At 35.2% G+C, this 24,614-nt stretch overlaps 1 protein-coding gene across 4 annotated transcripts in view; it reads left to right on the top strand.

Moving 5' to 3' along the window:
- WASF1 (WASP family member 1) overlaps positions 1-24,614 on the top strand; it is a 79,852-nt gene that overhangs the window by 7,280 nt on the left and 47,958 nt on the right. For 2 of the 4 annotated variants that reach the window (NM_001024935.2, NM_003931.3), the window contains one exon: positions 11,659-11,756. The exons of the other annotated variants lie outside the window; for them this stretch is intronic. The gene's annotated coding sequence lies outside the window, so the exon portion shown is untranslated. The remainder of the gene's footprint in view (positions 1-11,658; positions 11,757-24,614) is intronic. 4 annotated transcript variants of the gene reach the window in all.

Here is a 24,614-nt window from a genome sequence, read left to right as displayed (position 1 = left end):
TTTTTCTCTTGATTTCCTGTTTTCAATTTCATAGATTTCTGCCTTAATTATTCCATGGTGTATATGTGCCACATTTGCTTAATCCAGTCTGTCATTGATGGACATTTGGGTTGGTTCCAAGTCTTTGCTATTGTGAATGGTGTCGCAATAAACATACGTGTGCATTTGTCTTTATAGTAGCATGATTTGTAATCCTTTGGGTATATACCCAGTAATGGGATTGCTGAGTCAAATGGTAATTCTAGTTCTAGATCCTTGAGGAATCGCCACACTGTCTTCCACAATGGTTGAACTAATTTACACTCCCACCAACAGTGTAAAAGCGTTCCTATTTCTCCACATTCTCTCCAGCATCTGTTGTTTCCTGACTTTTTAATGATTGTCATTCTAACTGGCGTGAGATGATATCTCATTGTGGTTTTGATTTGCATTTCTTTAGTGACCAGTGGTGATGAGCATTTTTTCATGTGTCTGTTGGCTGCATAGACGTCTTCTTTTGAGAAGTGTCTGTTCATATCCTTTGGCCACTTTTTGATGGAGTTGTTTGTTTTTTTCTTGTAAATTTGTTTGAGTTCTTTGTAGATTCTGAATATTAGCCCTTTGTCAGAAGGGTAGATTGCAAAAATTTTCTCCCATTCTGTAGGTTGCCTGTTCGCTCTGATGGTAGTTTCTTTTGCAGTGCAGAAGCTCTTTAGTTTAATTAGATCCCATTTGTCTTATTTTGGCTTTTGTTGCCATTGCTTTTGGTGTATTAGTCATGAAGTCCTTGCCCATGCCCGTGTCCTGAATGGTATTGCCTAGGTTTTCTTCTAGGGTTTTTATGGTTTTATAGATCCTTCTACTTTTCTAATACAGACTTCATGATATTTTCAACTTAAAATAGGTTTATTGGGATACAACCCCGTTATAAACTGCGGACCGTCTGTATATATACTTGGTGCCATAAATTTCCCTCCAAGCACTGCTTTTGATGTATCCCACACATTTTGATAAATTGAATTTTCATTTTCACTTAATACAAAGTATTAAAAAATTTCTCTTGAGACTTTGAACCATGTGTTATTTAGAAGTGTGATGTTTAATCTCCAAATGTTTTGAGATTTTCCCATCTATCTTTCTGAGATTGCTTTCTGGTTTAATTGCATTGTGGTCTGAGAGCATATACTGTATTAGTTCTGTTCTTTTAAATTTTTTCAGGTGTGTTTTATGGCCCAGAATATAGTCTGTCTCAGTGAATGACTTATGTGAGCTTGAGAATAACATGTATTCTGCTGTTGTTGGTTGAAGTACTGTATAAATATCAGTTAGATCCAGTTGATTGATGGTATTTAGTTCAACTGTATTGTTACTGATTTTTTGCCTGTCAGTTAATTACCGATAGAAGGATGTTGATATCTCTAGCTGTGATCATGAGTTCATGTTTCCCCTTGTAGTTTTATCAGTTTTTGCTTCACATTTTGATGCTCTGTTAGGTGCATATACATTAAGAATCATTAGGTCTTGGAGAATTTGCCCCTTTATCGTAATGCAATGCCTATCTTTATCCCTGTTAATTTCCCTCGCTCAGAAACCTACTTTGTCTCAAATTGATACAGCTACTTCAGATTTGTTTTGACTCGTGTTAGCATGGTATATCTTTCTCCATTTCTTTACTTTTAATCTATTTCTACATTTAAAGTGGGTTTCTTGTATACAATATATAGTTAGGTCTTTTTTTTTTAATCTACTCTGTCTCTTATCTTTTAATTGGCATATTTAGACCATTCACATTTAAAGTGATTATTGACATAATTGTATTAAAATCTACTGTATTTGCAACTTTTTTTATTCATTGCACTTGTTCTTTGTTTCATTAAAAAGAAAAAGTTGGCTGGGCTGGTGGCTCACACCTGTAATCCCAACACTTTAGGAGGCTGAGTCAGGCCAATCACTTGAGCCCAGAAGTTTGACACCAGCCTGGGCAACACAGTGAAACCTTGTCTCTACAAAAAAATACAGAAATTAGCCAGGTGTGGTCACATGCACCTGTAGTCCCAGCTACTTGGGAGGCTGAGGTAGTAGGATCACTTGAGCCTGGGAGGCGGAGTTTGCAGTGAGCCAAGATTGCACCACTATACTCCGGTCTGAGTGATGGAAGGAACCTCTGTTTCACCCCCTCCACCCCCAAAAAATGTCCTCTCTTTTTCTGCTCTGACTTTAATTGAGCACTTTGTATGGTTTCCTTTTCTCTCCTCTCTTAGCATATCAATTATACTTCTTTCTCTTTAAAATGTTTTGTAAGTGGTTGTCCTAGTTTGCCTCTCTTTTTGTATGATTACCGAGGAGAAGTCCAATCTAATTTTTATCCTTGTCCCTCTATAGGTAAAGTGGTTTCTCTCTGTCTTTCAAAATTTTTCTTTGTCTTTGGTTTTCTGCAGTTTGAACATCACATGCCTAGGTGTAGATTTTCTGGTATTTATCGTGGTTGATGATCTCTGAGCTTCATGGATTTGCTGTTTGGTTTCTTAATTTTGGAAACATTTTGAGCACCTGTATATGCTAGGCATTGTACTAAATATCTTACGTATTTGATTTAATCCTCACAACAACCCTGTGAAGAAGTATGATTCTCATTATTTGTGGTGGAAACTAAGTTTTAAGTATAGACCACTACAGAATTTTTTTACAATAGTCACTAAAATTTAACTGCCTTGGGCTTACCCCTGACTTAAGCTTCCTCTAGATGTAATGAAAAAATGGGATTATTTTGATTTACTTGTTAGGTCGCAATACTGGAGGTGAGTGTTGGGGACTGATTTCAGAGTTCAAGTCATGTGCAGTGTATCAGATTTGTGTACCATCAAAGGAGTTGAATGAAAATGGCTGTATTGTGTCCTTTTGATGAGATGCAACTGTTTTACCAGCAATTTGCATACATTTGAAAGTTGACTGAACTGGTTAATGGAGAATCCAGTACTTTGCTTTAATTTAAAGATGATCTCAAATCCTAAGTGATTTGGTGCTGTTACTAGAAATAGAGAAGCCCAAAGAATAAGTTTCCTTTTTGGGGAGAGTGGGGAATGATGGATAATGAATTTGATTTTGGATATTTTGAATTTGAGTTAGTGAGATGTCCCTGTGGAGCTGTCTGGCAGACTGATAGCACAGGAGTATATATTGTCAGGACTGTTAGGGTTGATTGTTTAAGTTTGTGTAAGTAATTTAGAATTGATGGTTAAAGATCTAGCAGTGATGGATTTATGAAGAGGAGAAAGTGTAGAACTAGGTATAACAAAACTGTTGATGCCTAACATTTAGTGGAAAGAAAAAGGAGAGACAGAAGAGGATGCTGAAGTTGTGATCAAAGGATATAATGTGTTGCATTCTTAATATGACTGTTCTGTTGGGACAGGGGATAAGGCCTTGTGGTCTGGCCAGATCTCTGAAGAGGAATGTGAGATGCTAGTGAGTAGGAAGGGAAGCAAAGCAAAAGTGTGTTGATGGTTTTGAAAGTAGAGGAGAATGACAGGATTGCAGGAACTTGGTAAGGACAAAGTTGTTTTATAATAATGAGGCAATGAATGGATAGGGTAGAATATTCATGTCAGAAAGAGACACTTCGGAGATGGAGATCTCATAGGCAGAACTATTAAAAAAGTCTGTGCACAGACACTTGATGTGCTTAGTAGTAGAAGGAAAGGTGCTACTCCTCAGGACTGGAAGTACTGGCAGTGGAGTACTCGAGAGAGATGGGGTCCAGTTTTAAAAGCCTTGCTCTTGTCTATATACTTCTAACAGTTGCTCTAGGCTTGGCAAGTAGTAAAGCCACATCATTTGAAGTGGGAATCTTGGAGGGATGAAGGTGGTTATGTATTGCTGCTGATTCCTGTATTTTAAAATGTATTCTTCTTGCTTGCAAAAGCAAGTCTTTTTCATTGTGATAGAGGCAGTGCACAACTGCATGCCTCATATACAGTAGTGTTAACATCATAAAAATCACCATTTTCACTATCACAGAAGGAAATGAAATAGAGCATGTCTTTCAGAGGATTTGTACATACAGAACTTAATTTCATTCATTAGCATTAAAAATAAAATGTAAATTTTTTGGTAATGCTATACTAAGTACAGAAAGATGACATTAATGACTTCTTATCAGTTAAACATGAATTTCAATATGTATTTCATATAGTAGGGATGGATTTATGAGTTCCTCAACAATTTTAATTAAATTCACTCGTTATTAACTGTTATGTGAGAGGTCATGTTAGGACCAGAAAGTGTGGTGAAAATAGTATTTATTTTACTATTCTAATTAAATATTCTTTGAGGTATAAGAGATAATTGTTATAAAAGGGCTTTTGGAAAAAGTCTATATTAACATAAGATGCTACTGTTAAATTTTAAGGCTAGGGAACTAGGACCGTAGACAAAATCATGATTTACGTTTTTCATTAAATACTCAGTGTGGTATGTAAATGTTTCCAATGTAATCAGTGACTAGAATAAACAAATATTTGTTTTGGTTATCATCAATTTAGCTTTATTATTTTGAATTTTAAGTGACTATACCAATCATATTGAACTTAAACTACAGAAAGATGGTGATGATTTATTGAAAATTAAGTCACTTATTTTTAATTATGTTGTTTCTATTTGAATTTGTTTTTTATTTGTAGCTGCCTCACCGAATATTAGTAGAATTATCTATGGTTGACCTTATTTGAGGGTTATAGTGAAACATGTAAGTTATAGATGTATCTCATCTTAAGAAAACATAATATGAATGAGATTACTAATGAAGTGAGCTTAGATAAAAATAAGAGAAAAGGTACCAGGACTAAGTCCTGGAGTCCTCAAAGAATTAGAGGTACAGAAGTTAAAGAAAAGGATGCACTAGCAAAGGAGACTGAGAAACACACACCTTATCCTAGGCCTACGCAGGGTCAGAATAATTGATATCACTGTCTTCTACCTCCACATCTTGTCCCACTGGAAGGTCTTCAGAGGCAGTAACAAGCATGGAGCTGTCATCTCCTATGATAACAATGCCTTCTGGAATACCTCCTGAAAGAGCTGCCTGAGGCTCTTTCTAACTTTGAAAAAAAAAATAAGTAGAAGGAGTACAGTGTAAAATAATGATAAAAAGTATAGGATAGTAGATACATAAACCAGTAATATAGTAGTTTATTATTATCAAGTATTATGTAACTATACTTTTATGTAACTGGCGGCACAGTAGGGTTTTTTTTTCCAGTATCACCACAAATATGTGAGTAATGCTTTGCATTATGTATGATGTCTACATTGTGTATGATGGCTAACACTGCATGATGGCTACAGTGTTACTAGGTGATAGGAATTTTTTTTAGTTCCCTTAGAACCTTATGTGACTACCAACATATATGTGGTCCATCACTGACTGAAACTCATGACTGCAACTCCAGTTATATTAAGATAGCATAGCCCTTTATCCTTGGAAGATTCTGCTTTAAGAAATACTTTAAAATTTTTTTCACACAAAAAAATAAACATTTTTGAGTTTTGTGTGTTATATGCCAGGCTTTATGCTAATCATTGTATCTTATTTGATCCTCATAAACAGCCAGCCAAAGAAGGCAGGACTAGCCACAGAGGGACGGAGAAGTTAAGATTCTTTGCACAGTTTGTAAATGGCAGAGCCAAGATTCAAACCCATCTGATCTGTGGTCAGACTCTGTACTCCTAACTGCTATTTTGTCTACCTTTAACTGCTATTTTATCTACTCTGCTTTTAAATTTTACAGATTAAATACAACTAGCAATATTTTTGCTTGAGGACACAGTAAATAAAAAATTCTCATCCATTGCTAGAGTATAAAATACCAATATTAGTTTATTATTTTAATGAATGTAACACTAAAACTGAAAGACCTTTCATTTCATGTTGACTTTCTGGTGTCCCTGGTCATTTTTTGAGCCTTGCTCTCTATAAAATGAGTAAGCTAACTGTTCTCATTGTCTTCAGGATAGTCTTGGTAAAGACTGTACTTTGGTGTGAAAATGTAATTTGGGGAATACCACTGATATTTTTAAAACATTTAAAATCTTTTCAGGGTAAAAGAGTTCAGAAATATTTTGGTCAAAATGAGGACTCAGATTAGGAGAATTATTGTAGGGCATTTTTTTTTTCAATTGGTAAACTCTCTTCTTAGTCTTTTTTCTCCCTGGTTTCCTGATCCAAGACACTGTTTCTTTTTCATAAGCATTCATCTGCTTTTCCATTTCCTTTATTCCCTAAATAATATAGAATAAATGGCTTATCGTATTTTGGCTTGGTGTATCACTGATTTTTTCATGAATGATTCTGTTTTCCCATCTATATCCTTGACATCTTTAAAATATAACTTTGCCCTACTGCATTTTTACCCCTTGTCCTTTTACAAAAACTGTACCTATCTATTTGACTTTTGTGCTTTGCTTCCTTTATTCCTGGAATTCATGCATCTTGCCAGGAACATAAAGGGAGCTAGAAGGGTGCACGAGAACTAAGGCTTCTAGAACATTGTACTCAAACTTTATCATGCATCTTGTTAAAAAGCAGATTCTGATTCAGAAGTTCAGGGGTGATACCAAAATATGCAGTTCTTACAAGTTCCTAGGTGATGTTGATGCTGCTGATGCTGGTTTAAGGACCACACTTTCACTGGTACAGAAGATCCATGTCAGAAAGAAGTAGTTAGAAAAAGTTTTGCTTTATGTAACAATATATTATAAAAAAAGAAAAAGTATTGGTTTAAAGGGAATACATTCTTAAATGATCATGTTTATAAAATAGATGAATTCAAAGGAGAGGCAAAAGGTCAGGTAGGTAGAGTGAGAAAAGATAGAAGGCAACAGACATCTGAATAGAATCCCTTCTTAGTTCCTAATGTTGCTAGAACTCTTTTATGACATTTAAAATTTTAATTGTGGTAAGATACACACGAGTTAAAATTTACAATTTTAATCATTTGAAAGTGTATATAGTTCAGTGGCATTAAGTACATTCACATCTTCCAACTTCTTTTTTAAGATACTTTTATTTTTTAGATCAGTTTTAGGTTCATAGCAAAATTGAGCAGAAAGTACAGAGAGTTCCCATATATTCTCTGACCCCACATATGTATAGCCTATTAACATTCTGTACCAGAATAGTACATTTGTTACAACTGATGAACTTACGTTGATAAATCACTCAAAGTTAATATTTTATACCAGGGTCACTCTTGGTGTTGTACATTTGATGGGTTTTGATACGAGAAATGTGTAATTTCACATGTCTGCCATTTTAGTATGATACAGAATAGTTTCAGTGCCCAAAAATCTGTACTCTGCCAATTTATCCTCTCTCCTTTCTAACCCCTGGAAACCACTAATCTTTTCACCCTTTATAGTTTTGCCTTTTCTATCATGCCATGTAGTTGGAATCATAGAGTATGTAGCCATTTCAAATTCGCTTCTTTGACTTGGTAATATGCATTTAAGGTTCCTCCCATGTATTTTCATGGCTTGATATTTCATTTCTTTTGAGCGCTGAATATTCCATTATTTGGGTGTACCACACTTTATTTTACTTACCTACTCGAGGACATACTGGTTGGTTCCAAGTTTCAGCAGTTATGAATAAAACTGCTAAAACATCGATGTTGACATTTTTGTATGGGTGTAAGTTTTCACCTCTTTGGGTAAATATCAAAGAATGTTTTTGCTGGATTGTATGGTAAGAGTTTGTTTCATTTTATAAGAAACTGCCAAACTGTCTTCCAATTATGCATTCTCAATAGCAGCGAATGAGAGTTCTTCTTGCTCTGCATTCTCTCCATCATTTGGTATTGCCAGTGTTTTAGATTTTGGCCATTCTAATAGGCATGTAGCAATATCTCGTTTTAATTTGCAATTCCCTACTGACACATGATGCATGATGTTGAGCATCTTTTCATATGCTTATTTGCAATCATGCAGTCAGTGTATCTCTTTTGGTGAAGTATTTGTTGAGGTGAGAACTTTTTCCCAATTTTTAATCAAGTTGTTCATTTTCTTGTTGAATTTCAAGAGTTTTTTGTATATTCTGAATAACAGTCTTTTATTAGTCTTTTGCAAATATTTTCTCCCAGTCTGTAGCTTGTTTTCTCATTCTCTCAACATTGTCTTAACAGAGCAGAATTTTTTAATTTTAATGAAGTCCAACTTACCAATTATTTTTCATGGATTGTGCCTTTGTTGTTGTATTTAAAATGTCATCTTCAAACCCAAAGTCATCTTGATTTTCTGCTATGGTACCTTCTAGGAGTTTTATAGTTTTGGATTTTATGTTTAGATTTATAATCAATTCTGAGTTCATTTTTGTGAAGCGTGTAAGGTCTGTGTCTAGATTCAGTTTTTTGCATGTGGACGTCCAATTCCAGCATCATTTGTTGAAAAGACTATCTTTTCTCATTTGTATTGTCTTTGCTTCTTTGTCAAAGATCAGTGACTATTTGCACGGGTCTGTTTCTGGGCTCTTTATTCAGTTTCATTGAACTATTTTTCTATTTCTCCAAAACTACACTGTCTTGATTACCGTAACTTTATAGTAAGTCTTGAGGTTGCATAGTGTCAGTCCTTCAATAATGTGTTGGCTCTGCTGGGTCTTTTGACTCTCTATAATAAACTTTAGAATCAGTTTGTTGATAGTCACAAAATAACTTGCTGGAATTTTGATTAGGATTGTGTTGAATCTACAGATCAAGTTGGGAAGATCTGGTATCTTGACAATATTGAGTTTTCTTATCTGTTATGGACTGAATATATGTCCCCATCCCCCACCCCCAAATTCATATGATGACATCCTAACAATGTGATAGTATTAGGAGATAGGACTTTGGGGAGATGATTAGATCATGAGAGTGGAGTCCTCATAAATGAGTGCCTTTTTTAAAAAGTCCCCATAGCACTCTCTCGAGCTTTCTGCCATATGAGAACACAACAAGAAGTCTACAGCCTGGAACAGGACTCTCACTAGAACCTGACCATGCTAGCACCTTAGTTTCATAGAATTCCAGCCTCCAGAACTGTGAGAAATAAATTTCTGTCATTTATAAGATGCCTATTCTGTGGTACTTCATTATAGCAGCCCCAAATAAGAAACTATCCACAAACATAGAGTATCTCTGTATTTATTTAGTTTTTTGATTTCTTTCGTCAGAGTTTTGTAGTTTTTCTCATATAGATTTTGTACAAATTTTATGAGATTTATGCTTATTTCATTTTGTGGGGCTGCAACATATGTTATTATGTTTTTAATTTCAGATATGACGTATTCGTTGTTAAGATGTTGGGAAGCAGTTGACTTTTATATATTAATCTTGTATCCATGCTGTAATTGCTTACTAGTTCCAAGAGTTTTTTGGTTGATTCTTTCAGATTTTCTGTGTAGACAATTATGTCATCTTTGAACAAAGACAGTTTTATTTCTCCTTCCCAATCAGCATACTTTTATTTTCTTCTCTTGTATTAACTAAGACTTTCGGTGTGATATTGTAAGAGGGAACATCCTTTCCTTGTCTTGACTTTAGCAGGAAAGGTTGTAGTTTCTTGCCATTAAGTATGATGTTAGCTGTAGGTTTTTTGTAAATCTTCTTTTCAAGTTGAGGAAGTTACCTTTTATTCCTAGTTTGCGGAGAGTTTTAGTAATGAATGGGCATTGGTTTTTGTCAAATGCTTTTCCAGTATCTTTTGATAAGATCATGCAGGCTTTTCTTCTTTAGCCTGTTGATACGATAAATTATGTTAATTGATTTTTGTATGTAGAACCAGCCTTGCATATCTAGGATGAATCTCACTTGGTCCTGGTATGTAATTATTTTTACACATTGTTGGAATCGATTTGTTAATATTTTGTTGAGGATTTTTGCATTTTTGTTAATGAGAGATATTGGCCTTTAGTTTTTTGGATTTTTTTTTTTTTTTGCCTTGTCTTTATCTAGTTTTGCATTAGGGTAATGTTAACCTTATAGAATAAGTCTGCTTCTGTCTGTTCCTTTATGCCTTTTGAAGCAAGAAATACGTTGTCTGCGTGACAAATCTTAATTTATATCTTGCTTGTTTTGAGAATGCTGAATAATGAAAAAGTTAAGTTGTGATTAGGTCAGAGTCGACTCTCAGAAGAGTCTACCAAACAGTAGGAGAGGAGAAGCAGAATTTGTCTATATTCTAGGACCTGTCCCCAAAAACAAAGTTTTTTATTCTTAAGTATTAATACTTGATATGTTTGTATTATTTTTACTCTTTGAAAAGTACATTGAATGTATTTTCTTAAAATATATTCACTGAAGTGCCCAGTTTGTACTTCAGATATATCAGTGATACAGATAGAATTCTGAATTTTACGACTCGTACGCTTTCAAAATTGCTTAATAATAAACTTTAGATTTATTTAAACTCATTTGGTGATAACAAAGTCCTCCATTTTGTTTTGTGTTAGACCTCTTTTCTTTATTTGCATATGTGGGTAATCATATTATTTGAATACTTTCTATAGGGATTAGGTTCTTGCTGAAATTGTGGTCCTTTCATAGAGGTCAGGTTAAGGCTGGGCCTTGGTTCTTCCTTTCATGTAGCTTGTTCATAAAGTGCAAAGTAACATGGTTCATCATAGTAAGTGAGAAATCTGGAATGTAAACATCATTGTAATAATTCATTGTAAAAGGTATAATTTCTCCCCAGTTTTTTGCTGAATGGCAAGGAATGGGTGATTCCTATTTAGTTTTTTAAAAAAGCTATAGAAAGCAACATATACTATCAGTTTTCTTCAGGGAAAACATAATACAGTGCGATAAATGAGGTCTCACATATCTTGACCATGTAAAAATATCTGGACAAGTAAAGTTTAATCTGGTAAAATAAGGTACTCTTAACTGAAGAATGGTCCACTGCTATCTAAGAGGCTCATGTGAGTATAATAAGCTTATTCGGGGGATCAATATGTGGAAGAAAGAGGGATAGCCAAATTTATCCAACATTTGGTAGGATTTTTGGATGAGTTTCATTGCTAGTTAAATGAAACTTTAGACTAGTTAGTTCCTCCCTCCTAAGAACATATGTTTTCTTCTAAATAAGATGGTGATAATGAGTAAAATGAGGTTAGTTGGTAGAAAATGTAATACACTATTTAGTACAGTTAAACAGTACATCGTGAGTAAAAGACTATAACATAAGTAAAAAGGTACTTAAAATATTTGTTGAATTAATGAATTTAGAATACCGCTTTTTTATCTTCTGAACTTAGAAGTTAGAGGAAGACATCTTGAAAGGACTTTGTGATTTATTGAGCCTGAGTTTTAACAGCTAAAGATTTTCCAGTCAGATACGGCTTTAGTAGCAATAGGTAAAGTTTTTTTTAATGAAAAAATGTTTCAGACTTCTGGGTAAGCAAGAATTGCATTTATTTCATCGAGATAATTTCAAATTCATAATTGGTAGAATATGATTAATGAGGATTTTACTATATTGATCCTCTCATTTCCTATTATAATTAAAAGTAATTGGCTAAGCTTAAATTACTCCTCAGGCCTCATGTTTCATTGTTCTAATTATTCAAAGAAAAAGGTAGGTTCTTTGAGTATTAGAAACAAGGAATAATAAATGTTGGATATTATTTTTGTTCTCAATTTTAAACAGTGTTGGAGAAATCAGCATGTTAAAACAACTGTTGATGATAGCTGTTGGAGTAAAGTTGCAGTGGAAGCTATGGCTGCAAAATCGTTAAAATCTTCAAGGTAAAATTAAGAAGTAATGTATCTCAATGGCAACTCCTGATAGCAGGTGTCAATTTAAAGCTACTTCTCATTTCTGCTTCAAAAGTTATATACTAATAAAAGTGGACTGGTCTTGAAAGCATCTTCTGCATTTAAAAATTAAGTGTGTAGGGACAGGATTAGAAAACGTTGGTGGTTTTACAATAGATTTGGAACCAGCTTCTCATTTCTGTTAAAGGTAGCACACTCTCCTAGGCTCAAAACCTTTCTTATTCTGTATCTAATGATTTTTCTTCTCTTGTTTCCAACTACCAACAGTCTAAAACCCGAATCCTCATCAATTCTTCAGTGGTAAATTATAAGTGCTCTTAAAAGAGTCCTATATCTCGTTTTCCCATTCTTTTTAGTCCATCCAGCAGTTAGCTAACATATTATTCTTCCTTGCTCATAGTTTTCATTAGACACTTGATTTTAAATCAGCTGTTTTTCTTACTATACTGTTTTTTACTGTGATGTAACAAGTATAACTAACATTTTTAATATAATTTTGTGTATGATGGAAGTGTATATTCTGTTTTTAAATTAGACTTATTCTAACTAGATAAAACTTTCAAGATGGTATTTTTGAATGTAAAAGGTTATTTTAATACTAAATAGGAGTTGAAAAATTGCTGAAGCCATTGTTCTTTTAGAGCTATGTTAAAGAAATAGATGCTTCCCAAGGTATAGGTTGAGCATCCCTAATCCAAAATCTGAAATGTTCCAAAATCCGAAACATTTTGAGCACCAACATGATACCACAAGTGGAAAATTTCACGTGTAGGTACTTAAAACCACTTTAATGCACAGAATTATTTAAAGTGTTACATAAAGTTACCTTCAAGCCATGTGTATAAGGTATATATGAAACATAAATGAATTTCATGTTTAAACTTGGGTCCTATCCCCAAGAGATCTCATTACATGTATGCAGTATTCAGATATTTTTGAAACTGGAAACACTTCTGGTCCCAAGCATTTCAGATAAGGGATGCTTAACTTCTAACTGTGTCTCATGAATAGTGATATTTATTTGGTTTGCTGGCCATAGCCCGGCATTAGGCTCCAACAGGTACCGTCTGGTGTCAGTTGGAGTTGCTATTTGAAGACCCCTATCAGGTGCCAAAAGATAAAAGTAAAGGTGTGGAAAAAATATTGTAATGTCACTTCACTTCAGTGATAATGTTCCTTTTCTCAGATTCTGGCAGTGTCACACGGTTATCCCCTACATCAATGGTTCTCACCTTAAGTATGCATGGAGCTTAGTCTAGAACCTTACTGTCTTTAACTCAACAGACTGTTTTTTGTTTTCGTTTTTGTGTTTTTTCCAAATGCAGGGTTGACTCTAGCTACTAACCTGTGTATTATTTTTACTTATTTGCTCTTTTTTCTTTTCCTGTGCTTGCATCTACCGAATTTGCCTTCCCCAGTTTTTAAAGTAATCTGTAATTTTCTGTTCTTATTCAACTAATTCTGAATAGTCAAAACGCAAAATGCTGTTAGTTGCTATGGGACATACGGAGAAATGTAAGATATGATCCCTGTCTTCAGGGAGCTTATGGTATGACTGAATAGACAAGATGTAAGCATGGAAAACTGAAATAGTGTAAGAAACAATTCAAGAAAGATCACAATGCAGTAAATGGCTATTTGGTTAATAATAATAATTACTAGCATAGAAAAATAGAACTCTGAATTCAGAGGAAGGACTAACTCACCATGAACTGGGTTTATCAAGAAGGTTTTCATGGCAAAGGAAGGATTCATTCAGGACATTGAAGGATTAATTGGATTGAGCTAGATAGGGAAGAAAGTAGACATCCATTCTAAATAGAATAGTAGCTGGTTCTAATCTTCATTCTTAACTCCAACATGAATCATATCTTTTTTTAAAAAAAATTGCTATGCTTATGGAGTTAACATTGACTCAGACAAGTCACCTGAGTGAATTACTCACTTATTTTATCTTGGGGTCAAAGAAGCTCATGTGAGGGTTCCTCATTCCCTAAGATTCTCCTTTTATATAAGATTGTAAACAAGAAGGCACTTTAGGGGAAGAGCCAAGATGGCCGAATAGGATCCTCTTCAAAAAATCAATGAATCCAGGAGCTGGTTTTTTGAAAGGATCAACAAAATTGATAGACCGCTAGCAAGACTAATAAAGAAAAAGAGAGAGAAGAATCAAATAGACACAATAAAAAATGATAAAGGGGATATCACCACCGATCCCACAGAAATACAAACTACCATCAGAGAATACTACAAACACCTCTACGCAAATAAACTAGAAAATCTAGAAGAAATGGATACATTCCTCGACACATACACTCTCCCAAGACTAAACCAGGAAGAAGTTGAATCTCTGAATAGACCAATAACAGGCTCTGAAATTGTGGCAATAATCAATAGTTTACCAACCAAAAAGAGTCCAGGACCAGATGGATTCACAGCTGAATTCTACCAGAGGTACATGGAGGAACTGGTACCATTCCTTCTGAAACTATTCCAATCAATAGAAAAAGAGGGAATCCTCCCTAACTCATTTTATGAGGCCAGCATCATTCTGATACCAAAGCCGGGCAGAGACACAACCAAAAAAGAGAATTTTAGACCAATATCCTTGATGAACATTGATGCAAAAATCCTCAATAAAATACTGGCAAACCGAATCCAGCAGCACATCAAAAAGCTTATCCACCATGATCAAGTGGGCTTCATCCCTGGGATGCAAGGCTGGTTCAATATACGCAAATCAATAAATGTAATCCAGCATATAAACAGAGCCAAAGACAAAAACCACATGATTATCTCAATAGATGCAGAAAAAGCCTTTGACAAAATTCAACAACCCTTCATGCTAAAAACTCTCAATAAATTAGGTATTGATGGGACGTATTTCAAAATAATAAGAGCTATCTATGACAAACCCACAGCCAATATCATACTGAATGGGCAAAAACTGGAAGCATTCCCTTTGGAAACCGGCACAAGACAGGGATGCCCTCTCTCACCGCTCCTATTCAACATAGTGTTGGAAGTTCTGGCCAGGGCAATCAGGCAGGAGAAGGAAATAAAGGGTATTCAATTAGGAAAAGAGGAAGTCAAATTGTCCCTGTTTGCAGACGACATGATTGTTTATCTAGAAAACCCCATCGTCTCAGCCCAAAATCTCCTTAAGCTGATAAGCAACTTCAGCAAAGTCTCAGGATACAAAATCAATGTACAAAAATCACAAGCATTCTTATACACCAACAACAGACAAACAGAGAGCCAGATCATGGGTGAACTCCCATTCACAATTGCTTCAAAGAGAATAAAATACCTAGAAATCCAACTTACAAGGGATGTGAAGGACCTCTTCAAGGAGAACTACAAACCACTGCTCAAGGAAATAAAAGAGGAGACAAACAAATGGAAGAACATTCCATGCTCATGGGTAGGAAGAATCAATATCGTGAAAATGGCCATACTGCCCAAGGTAATTTACAGATTCAATGCCATCCCCATCAAGCTACCAATGACTTTCTTCACAGAATTGGAAAAAACTACTTTAAAGTTCATATGGAACCAAAAAAGAGCCCGCATTGCCAAGTCAATCCTAAGCCAAAAGAACAAAGCTGGAGGCATCACACTACCTGACTTCAAACTATACTACAAGGCTACAGTAACCAAAACAGCATGGTACTGGTACCAAAACAGAGATATAGATCAATGGAACAGAACAGAGCCCTCAGAAATAATGCCGCATATCTACAACTATCTGATCTTTGACAAACCTGAGAAAAACAAGCAATGGGGAAAGGATTCCCTATTTAATAAATGGTGCTGGGAAAACTGGCTAGCCATATGTAGAAAGCTGAAACTGGATCCCTTCCTTACACCTTATACAAAAATCAATTCAAGATGGATTAAAGATTTAAACGTTAAACCTAAAACCATAAAAACCCTAGAAGAAAACCTAGGCATTACCATTCAGGACATAGGCGTGGGCAAGGACTTCATGTCCAAAACACCAAAAGCAATGGCAACAAAAGACAAAATTGACAAATGGGATCTAATTAAACTAAAGAGCTTCTGCACAGCAAAAGAAACTACCATCAGAGTGAACAGGCAACCTACAACATGGGAGAAAATTTTTGCAACCTACTCATCTGACAAAGGGCTAATATCCAGAATCTACAATGAACTCAAACAAATTTACAAGAAAAAAACAAACAACCCCATCAAAAAGTGGGCGAAGGACATGAACAGACACTTCTCAAAAGAAGACATTCATGCAGCCAAAAAACACATGAAGAAATGCTCATCATCACTGGCCATCAGAGAAATGCAAATCAAAACCACTATGAGATATCATCTCACACCAGTTAGAATGGCAATCATTAAAAAGTCAGGAAACAACAGGTGCTGGAGAGGATGCGGAGAAATAGGAACACTTTTACACTGTTGGTGGGACTGTAAACTAGTTCAACCATTGTGGAAGTCAGTGTGGCGATTCCTCAGGGATCTAGAACTAGAAATACCATTTGACCCAGCCATCCCATTACTGGGTATATACCCAAATGAGTATAAATCATGCTGCTATAAAGACACATGCACACGTATGTTTATTGCGGCACTATTCACAATAGCAAAGACTTGGAACCAACCCAAATGTCCAACAATGATAGACTGGATTAAGAAAATGTGGCACATATACACCATGGAATACTATGCAGCCATAAAAAATGATGAGTTCATATCCTTTGTAGGGACATGGATGAAATTGGAAACCATCATTCTCAGTAAACTATTGCAAGAACAAAAAACCAAACACCGCATATTCTCACTCATAGGTGGGAATTGAACAATGAGATCACATGGACACAGGAAGGGGAATATCACACTCTGGGGACTGTGGTGGGGTCGGGGGAGGGGGGAGGGATAGCATTGGGAGATATACCTAATGCTAGATGACACATTAGTGGGTGCAGCGCACCAGCATGGCACATGTATACATATGTAACTAACCTGCACAATGTGCACATGTACCCTAAAACTTAGAGTATAATAAAAAAAAAAAAAAAAAAAAAAAAAAAAAGAAGGCACTTTAGAAATAATGTAGTCCTACCTGTAATCTCTTCTAGAGGCAAGTAATTTCCTTATTGGAAATGTCTGGTATAAAAAGATTTTTTTTCTGTTCAAATTAAATGTCTTCTCATCACTTTAAGCTATTGATCCTAGATTTGCTTTCAAAGAACTCTCTTAATCTCATTCCAAGCCAGGAAATGATAATGGCAAAATAGTTTAACCAAATCTACCTTTTTAGTTTCTGTTCCAGTTTGTGCTTATAGCCGATAAAAAGCATACTTAGGTGTACATTATGATGGTATATTGGTATATCGAGGCCAAAAATAATGCTTAAGAGTTACTGAATTAGTAAGAGCCCTGATACTTAGGGAGAACTATAGATTAAGTAAATCTATATTGATTTACTCTATAGACAAAGCTGAAAATATGTAAAGAGTCTGATTATTTCAGGGTATTAGGAGCACGTGGTTCATTACTTTTGAATGCCCTAGCTGGAAGTCTTCCACTGTGAAGGTATCTCTTTCAGAAGTATCTATTTCATTAATACTAGCTGTCCCATTTATATTTTTAGCATATTATGTCCTTTTATATCTTATTTGGCATTAGGATGTTCTTAGCAGAAGTTTTTACATGTGCCTGACTTTCACCAAGGACAACTTTACATAAGATCCAGGCTTTGGATCCTTTTAGTCTTTGCATTTCAATTTTTATCCAAATTCCCTGATTTTTTTTAGTACAATAAAGTTATAAACCATGGCTGAAAAATATTTAAAATCTTCAAATGACTCCGTTGCAATATTTCCAAATTTGTGGTGTGTTTGTTTGTTCCTATATAAAGTAAAATATCAATCAAAGGTAATTATATTCAGGTGTATAGTTAGGATAGTTAATTTTATTAATCAACAGAAAAGTGTATAATCTTCATAATCATGTTTATTAAAATGTTTATAATAATGGGTAAATTGTGAAGTCTAGGGAACAACAATTTTTATGCCCATTGCTTCTGTATGGAAATTCAATCAAGTGAAATTTTGTGGAACTTTCTATTTATATCTTTCTCTTAAGGTACTTTTTTATAATACGCAATTACTGTCCTGGCTCAAACCATGCCTGTATTAATATATTTTAGGTATTACCTTTAGAATTCTTTTCTAAAGGAAATCAATAAATTACTTGCTTCATCCTCTTCCATTTTGATATTAAAAGCTGTTTTTAAGTCCTGTGTTTCCATATGATATTGTTAGGTACTTCAGAATGTTCTTTAGGAGTGTTCATTCACATCGTTGTAATCCATATGATATTGTATTGTATTAGGTATATAGACCACAAAATAAAAACATTGAGAATTATGTTGGAAAAAAGTAAACTTAGAGAAAAGAGACTTAAGTCTCTGCCTGTGAGTCCGTCTTCCTTGCCGTCATTCAAATAATTTGTAGAACCTCACTTCCTCTAACATGGTTTCAGATATAGAAAAGGAGAGTTCACAACTTCTCCTGAAATTTACTTTTGGAACTCAAAGAAATCCCTCTAATTTTTCACTCCAAATGTATCCTCAACTCTTCTTCTCCCTACTTAAAACAAACTTAGGTATGTTATTGTCACATTTAAATACAAGCACAGTCCCTCTTATCAAATGTTTTATAATATTCTATTCATTCTAATTGAGTATTTTTAAATCCAGGCGTATAGCATAAACCTCAAATTACCAGACACACACAAATCCAAGTTTTCCTATTGTTGGCTTTTTTTTTTTTCTTTTTTGAGGCAGGATCTTGTGTCACCCAGGCTGGAATGTAGCAGCACATTGTAGAAACCAGGTTTTACTATGTTGTCCAAGCTGGTCTCGAACTTCTGAGCTCAAGCGATCCTCCCACCTCAGCCTCCCAAAGTGGGATTACAGATGTGAGCCACCTTGTCCAGTCTTGTGTTAGCTTTAAGCAGGATAGAAAAATGCAAATTAAAATTATGAGATACCACTGTACATGCAGTAGATTGACTAAAATTAAAAAGGTTGACAATGCCAAGTTTGGGTGAGGATACAGTGAGAAATCAACATAGATTGATTTAATCTATGGCTTCTTTTAAATATTAGGGCTCTTATTAAATCAGTCTTAAACTTTCTTTTTGGACTCAAAATGTCAGTTTATCATTACATTGTACAGCTAGTTATTTTTATCTGCCATAAGGTCAAACTGGAACAGAAACCAGAACAGTAGATTTGGTTAAACTATTTTGCCATTATTATTTCCTGGCTCCCTATCTTCACCTAGAACTCTGTTGGTGGAAATGTAAAATGGTTAAACTGCTTTGGAAAGCAATTTTGTAGTTTTTTACAAAGCTAAACGTATAACCCAACCGTTCCACTGCTAAGTATTTACCCAAGAAAAACAAAACCATATCCACATAGAGACTTGTATAAAATGTTCATAAGTTACTTTATTTACAATAATCAAAACCGGAATATTACCCAAATTTCCATAAACAAGTGCAACAACATGGATGAATCTCAATCATCTCAATCATTAGGCTGAACAAAAGAAGGCAGACAATAGTTACTACTCTGTGAATCCATTTATATAGAATTCAACAAGCAAATTAATCTATGGTGACAGGTCAGTGGTCCTTGGAAACATGAGGGGAGGAAGGGATTACAAAGGAGAAAATTTGGGGGATGATTGTGATGATTTCACAGTATTAAGCCATGTTAAAACTGTTATAAACCTAATCAAATTTTACACCAGTATGTGCAATGCATTAGTTTTCTATCACTGCTTAACGAATTACCACACATTTAGCAGGCTAAAACATCTCTAGTAATTATCTTATAGTCCTATAAGTCAGAAGTATGAATAGGCTTGGCTGGATTCTCTGCATAGGGACTCAGAAGTCCAAAATCATGGCACTGACGGCTACATTTCTTTTCTGTTGGCTCTGGGGAACAATCACCTTGCAAGCTCATTCAAGTTCCTGGTAGTTGTACAATCTTAAGCTTCTCTTTTAATATCTAACAAGTACAGAGGCAGATTCTATTTTTCCTGATGGATATAATTCTTCATTGTATTGTGAATTGTTTCTGTTGGACTAAGACAAAATCAAAGTTTAGAAGAATTTTGATAATACAGACATATATGAAATAATAACAGAATCCCAACTTAAGGAGAGTAGTTAACCAGAGTAAGTTTTTGTTGGATTTAATATTATTGTTCCTGGTTTCCAGGTTCCTGTCTTCTCCCTGGGTGTCAGAAAAAGGTTTCTAGCTCCTAGAACTGCTTTCAGGTTCCCTCCATCTTTAAGCCAGCAGTAGCTGCCACATCTCCCTCATGCTTCAAATCTTTGCCTCCTTTCTCCGTTGTCAGCTGGAGAAAGCTCTACTTTCAAAGGGCTCATGTGATTAGGTTAAGCCCACCCATATAATCTCCCAATTTTAAGGTCAGCTGATAATTGACCATAATTATATCTTTAAAACCTCTCTTAACATGTAATATAATCATAGGAATAGTGCTAGGGACTGGATATCATGCGGCCATCTTAGAATTCTGCCTGCCACATGCTGTATGTTGTGCTTCACTTATACCTCAATAAAGTTTATATTTTTTTTCTAAAAAGGACAAAAATATATAATAATATGTGCATATAATGGGATGGTTGTGACACCCAAATAAGATGTAAGTTGATTTTTCTCACTGATTTGATTTGGCATAGCATTTCCATGTCCAGTGGGGAAATAGAACTAAGATAATAATATACTTACCACTTTTTCTATATTTTTTAATTTTCTTTCATCTATGATGTTAAGAAACAGTAGAAAGTTGAGGAAGTAGCTAAAAAGTAAACATAATAGAGGTGATTTTGTAAGTTTTTTAAGTTCACTCAAAATTGTGATTAATATTGTGATTTCATGTATGTCTACAAATATAAAGTAGTATTTAAAAATTACTATTACTTTATTAAACTTGTGCAAGAGATGAATGAATGTAAGTGTGCATTTTGTTGATCCTATTGTTTAGACCAATCTTGGAATTCTTGAGTTTATAGAATTCTTATATTACAGAATGTGGGAAATAATTGTTTTTATAACATGTAGGATGCTTTTATCTCCACCTTGTTTATTTCCTAGAAAGCATTCAATCAAGAGTAATACATTTAATATTTTATTATAGTTATTTGTGGCCAAAGATTTTGGAAATTAAAAATTTTAGTAGACTAGATGAAACTTTAGAATGAAATGTGGTTAGTTTTGCTTGGATCCTCAAATTGCTAGTGTGTGATACCAAGTGTTACCAAGAATGTCAAACAGCTGGAACTCTCGTAAGTTGCTGATGGGGGTATAAATTAGTTCAAGCACTTTGAAAACTATTTGACAATAGTTACTAAAGCTGTATGTATGTATGTGTATATATACCCTATGACCCAGTGGTTTACTCTCTCTAGTCATTCCACATTTACTCCATAATACACATTAAAATCTTTTTAAGATCAAATGTTTGTCCTCTTTTACTCTTTTATTTTGAGACAGAGTTTCACTCTTGATGCCCATGCTGGAATGCAATGGCGTGATCTCAGTTCACTGCAACCTTCGCCTCCTGGGTTCAAGTGATTCTCCTGCCTCAGCCTCCCAAGTAGCTGGGATTACAGGCTCGTGCCACCAAGCCTGGCTAATTTTTTGTATTTTTAGTAGAAACGGGGTTTTACCATGTTAGCCAGGCTGGTCTCGAACTCCTGATGTAAGGTGATCTGCCCGCCTCAGCCTCCCAAAGTGCTGTGATTACAGGCGTGAGCCACTGTGCCCAGCCCTTTTACTCCTTTTAAGGAACTTATTTGTTCCTTGTTGACCACCAAAGTTCAAAATCTTCAATTTGATTGCTTTTTTAAAAAATCTTTTATTCCTGCTTCTGTTTTCCTTTCAAGCAAGTGTCCTTATTTTTCCTCTCTTATTCTCAACTTGCTGTTTTACTTGTGATGGACATCAGTGCTGTCCAGTACAACTTTCTGCAGTGAAGGTAGTGTTCTGTAACTACCCTGTCCAGTATGGCTATTGAGCACTTGAAATGTGGCTAGTGTGACTGAGGAACTGATTTTTAAATTATTTACTTCGTTTTAATTTAGCAACTTGTGGCTAGCTGGTTAATTTATTGGACAGAACAGGTCTAAATTACTGTCTTCCTTTAACCTCTTTAGCTGGTTTTGATTTCATTCTCTCTACATGCATAATAATTTACCTTAGTCTACTTTAGACCTTAGCTATATGTTCATTTTTATTGTTTTACATTTTCTGTTACATATTTTTGCTTCCTGATTATTTTGTAAGCTGCTGGGTGGTGAAGCTATTTTACTTCTTTTCTATTCCTTTCACTTTCTATATTTTAACCATAATATGTAATCTGTAAATATTTATTGAAGGAAGTAGTCATCTGGGAATTGAGGAACATTATTTGGAGCTTCAAAATACCATTGAAAATCTTTTAGGGTATTGTGAAATTTGGGAGGCCAATTTGTCGAGAATACAAAATAGACTTAAATACAGTAACAAGGCCAGGTATAGTGGCTCACATCTCTAATAGGAGGCTGAGGCAGGAGGATTGCTTGAGCTCAGGAGTTCGACACCAGCCTGGGCAGGCAAGTTAGGGAGACCCCATCTCTACAAAATAATAATAGTAATAATAAACAGTAACAGATTAAGAGGGTGGGAGGGGGCTGAGGGATAAAAGACTACATACTGGGTACAGTGTACACTGCTCAGGTGATGGGTGTACCATAATCCCAGAAATCACTACCAAATCACTTATCCATGTACCCCAGAAACTTGAAATAAAAAATTAAAATATGTATACTGACAAAAATACAGTAGAGCAAGCAATAGATGCAAAATCTGAAGACAAAATCTAGTCTCATCTCTGCCACTGATTTTGTGAACTTAGAGAAGTTTCTTAGCTTTTTCAGGTAAGTTTGCTAATCTACAAAAATCGGATATGAATTATTTGGTGTTTTAATTTCTCTTCCAGGTTAAGATTCTTTTCTTTTTGTTTTTTTCTTTCTTTCTTTCCTTTTTTTTTTTTTTTTTTAAGACAGAGTCTTCCTCTTCCATGCTGTCTCCTACAGAAAGAAGATGACATTTCATATGAATTGTGGGGCATTGGAAGGTGAAATGCCAGGAATATTGTGTTTACCCTGGCTCTCTATTCTAGAAGTCAGGTGGACTGAAGTTACAGGGCATAGAGAATGGCAACGATGTAGGCGAACAAAGCAATTAAGTAAATCTAAGATTTATCCTTCAGGCTGAAATAGGTAAAGCGGGCATATGCCATACAGAATAATGAAATGTAAGGAAAAAAATGAAAGGGGGAAAAAAAGGAAAGCCACTAAATGTTCTCTTGCTTTCTCAATTAATTTTGGCTTTAAAACTCATCATTCTCCCACTACCCCTGTCCCAAATACCATTAAATTACTCTCTCCATGAGCCCAGTTACTTGGTTGTACATATTACTAGAGTTAGTCATAAGTCTTTTCCTAATCCCATAGACTTTGTGGATAGGGAGTCATATATTGATATAATTGATCTGCTTTAGAAATAATTTTCAGTTTTTGGCTGACTATAGAAAGTTTCTTAAGCCAAGAACTTGGGCTTCACCCCTTCTGGTGATCTAATTAATTATTAGCCTGTTTCCTTCTACCTCCAGAATATATCTTGAGTTGACATGCTTCTGTATCACTATCACATAGTCCAAGTGACTACCATCTCTGTCTCTGGACTACTTTATTCATCTTCTGTCTGGTCTACCTGCATTTATTCTGCCATTCCCCACTGCCCAAGTCTCCATAGAGCAATTAGAATGAATGGTCATTCCTGATCTTGGCACTCCTTTGCTTAAAACCCTTCAAGGGTTTTCCATTAGGACAACATAGAAAATCGTCAATATGACCTTCAAGGTCCTACCTAATCTGACCCCCTACTAACCCTAGAGTCTCTGATTGCACTTCACCCATGATGGCTTGCTCTCATTATTATTCCCTGTCCACCTTTCATTCTAAGAATGAAAACACACGCACAAGCTTCAGTTTCCCCAGCTTAGCTAGCTTAGCTAATAATCCTTTTGTTCTTAATTTAAATATTACTTCCTTAAGGAGACAGGTCCCCTTTATAGTGTCCCCTACTTTTACTCCATTATACTTATAAGCGTAATTAGATACTAGATTCTAGGAAATACACGGGGGATTGTTTGGTTTTGCTCACCCCTTTATCTTTAGCACTTGGCACACAGTACTTATTTCACTGATGTTCAGTAAATGGTTGGTTAGATGAATGAATGAATGGATGGCAGTGTGTCAGTACTGCCGTTTTTCATATAAAGTACAATGTATTTGATAGGTATATGTTTTTAGAAATACTTGCAATATGAAGAAGACAATCTTGTTTTTCAAGTAGCTTAGTTCTGCATTTGTGGTTTAGATGCCTCAAACTTCAATTTTAACATCTTTTAAACCACTAAAAATAAACTTGGTGGTTGGGTGCAGTGGCTCATGTCTATAATCCTAGCACTTTGAAAGGCTAAGGCAGGAGGATTACTTGAGCCCAGGAGTTTGAGGCCAGCCCGGGCAACATGGCAAAATCTCGTCTCTTCAAAAAATTTAAAAATTAGCCAGGTGTGCTGGCACACCCTGTAGTCCCAGCTACTTGGGAAACTGAGGGTGGGAGGACTGCTTTAGCCAGGGAGGTTGAAGCTGCAGTGAGTTGTGATCACGCCACTGCATTCCAGTTTGGGTGACAGAATA

The sequence above is a fragment of the Homo sapiens genome, chromosome 6, assembly GCF_000001405.40.
Source record: "Homo sapiens chromosome 6, GRCh38.p14 Primary Assembly".
Lineage (NCBI taxonomy): Eukaryota > Metazoa > Chordata > Mammalia > Primates > Hominidae > Homo > Homo sapiens.
Note: the sequence above shows the minus strand (reverse complement) of the source record. Positions and strands in the feature narration are given on the sequence as shown.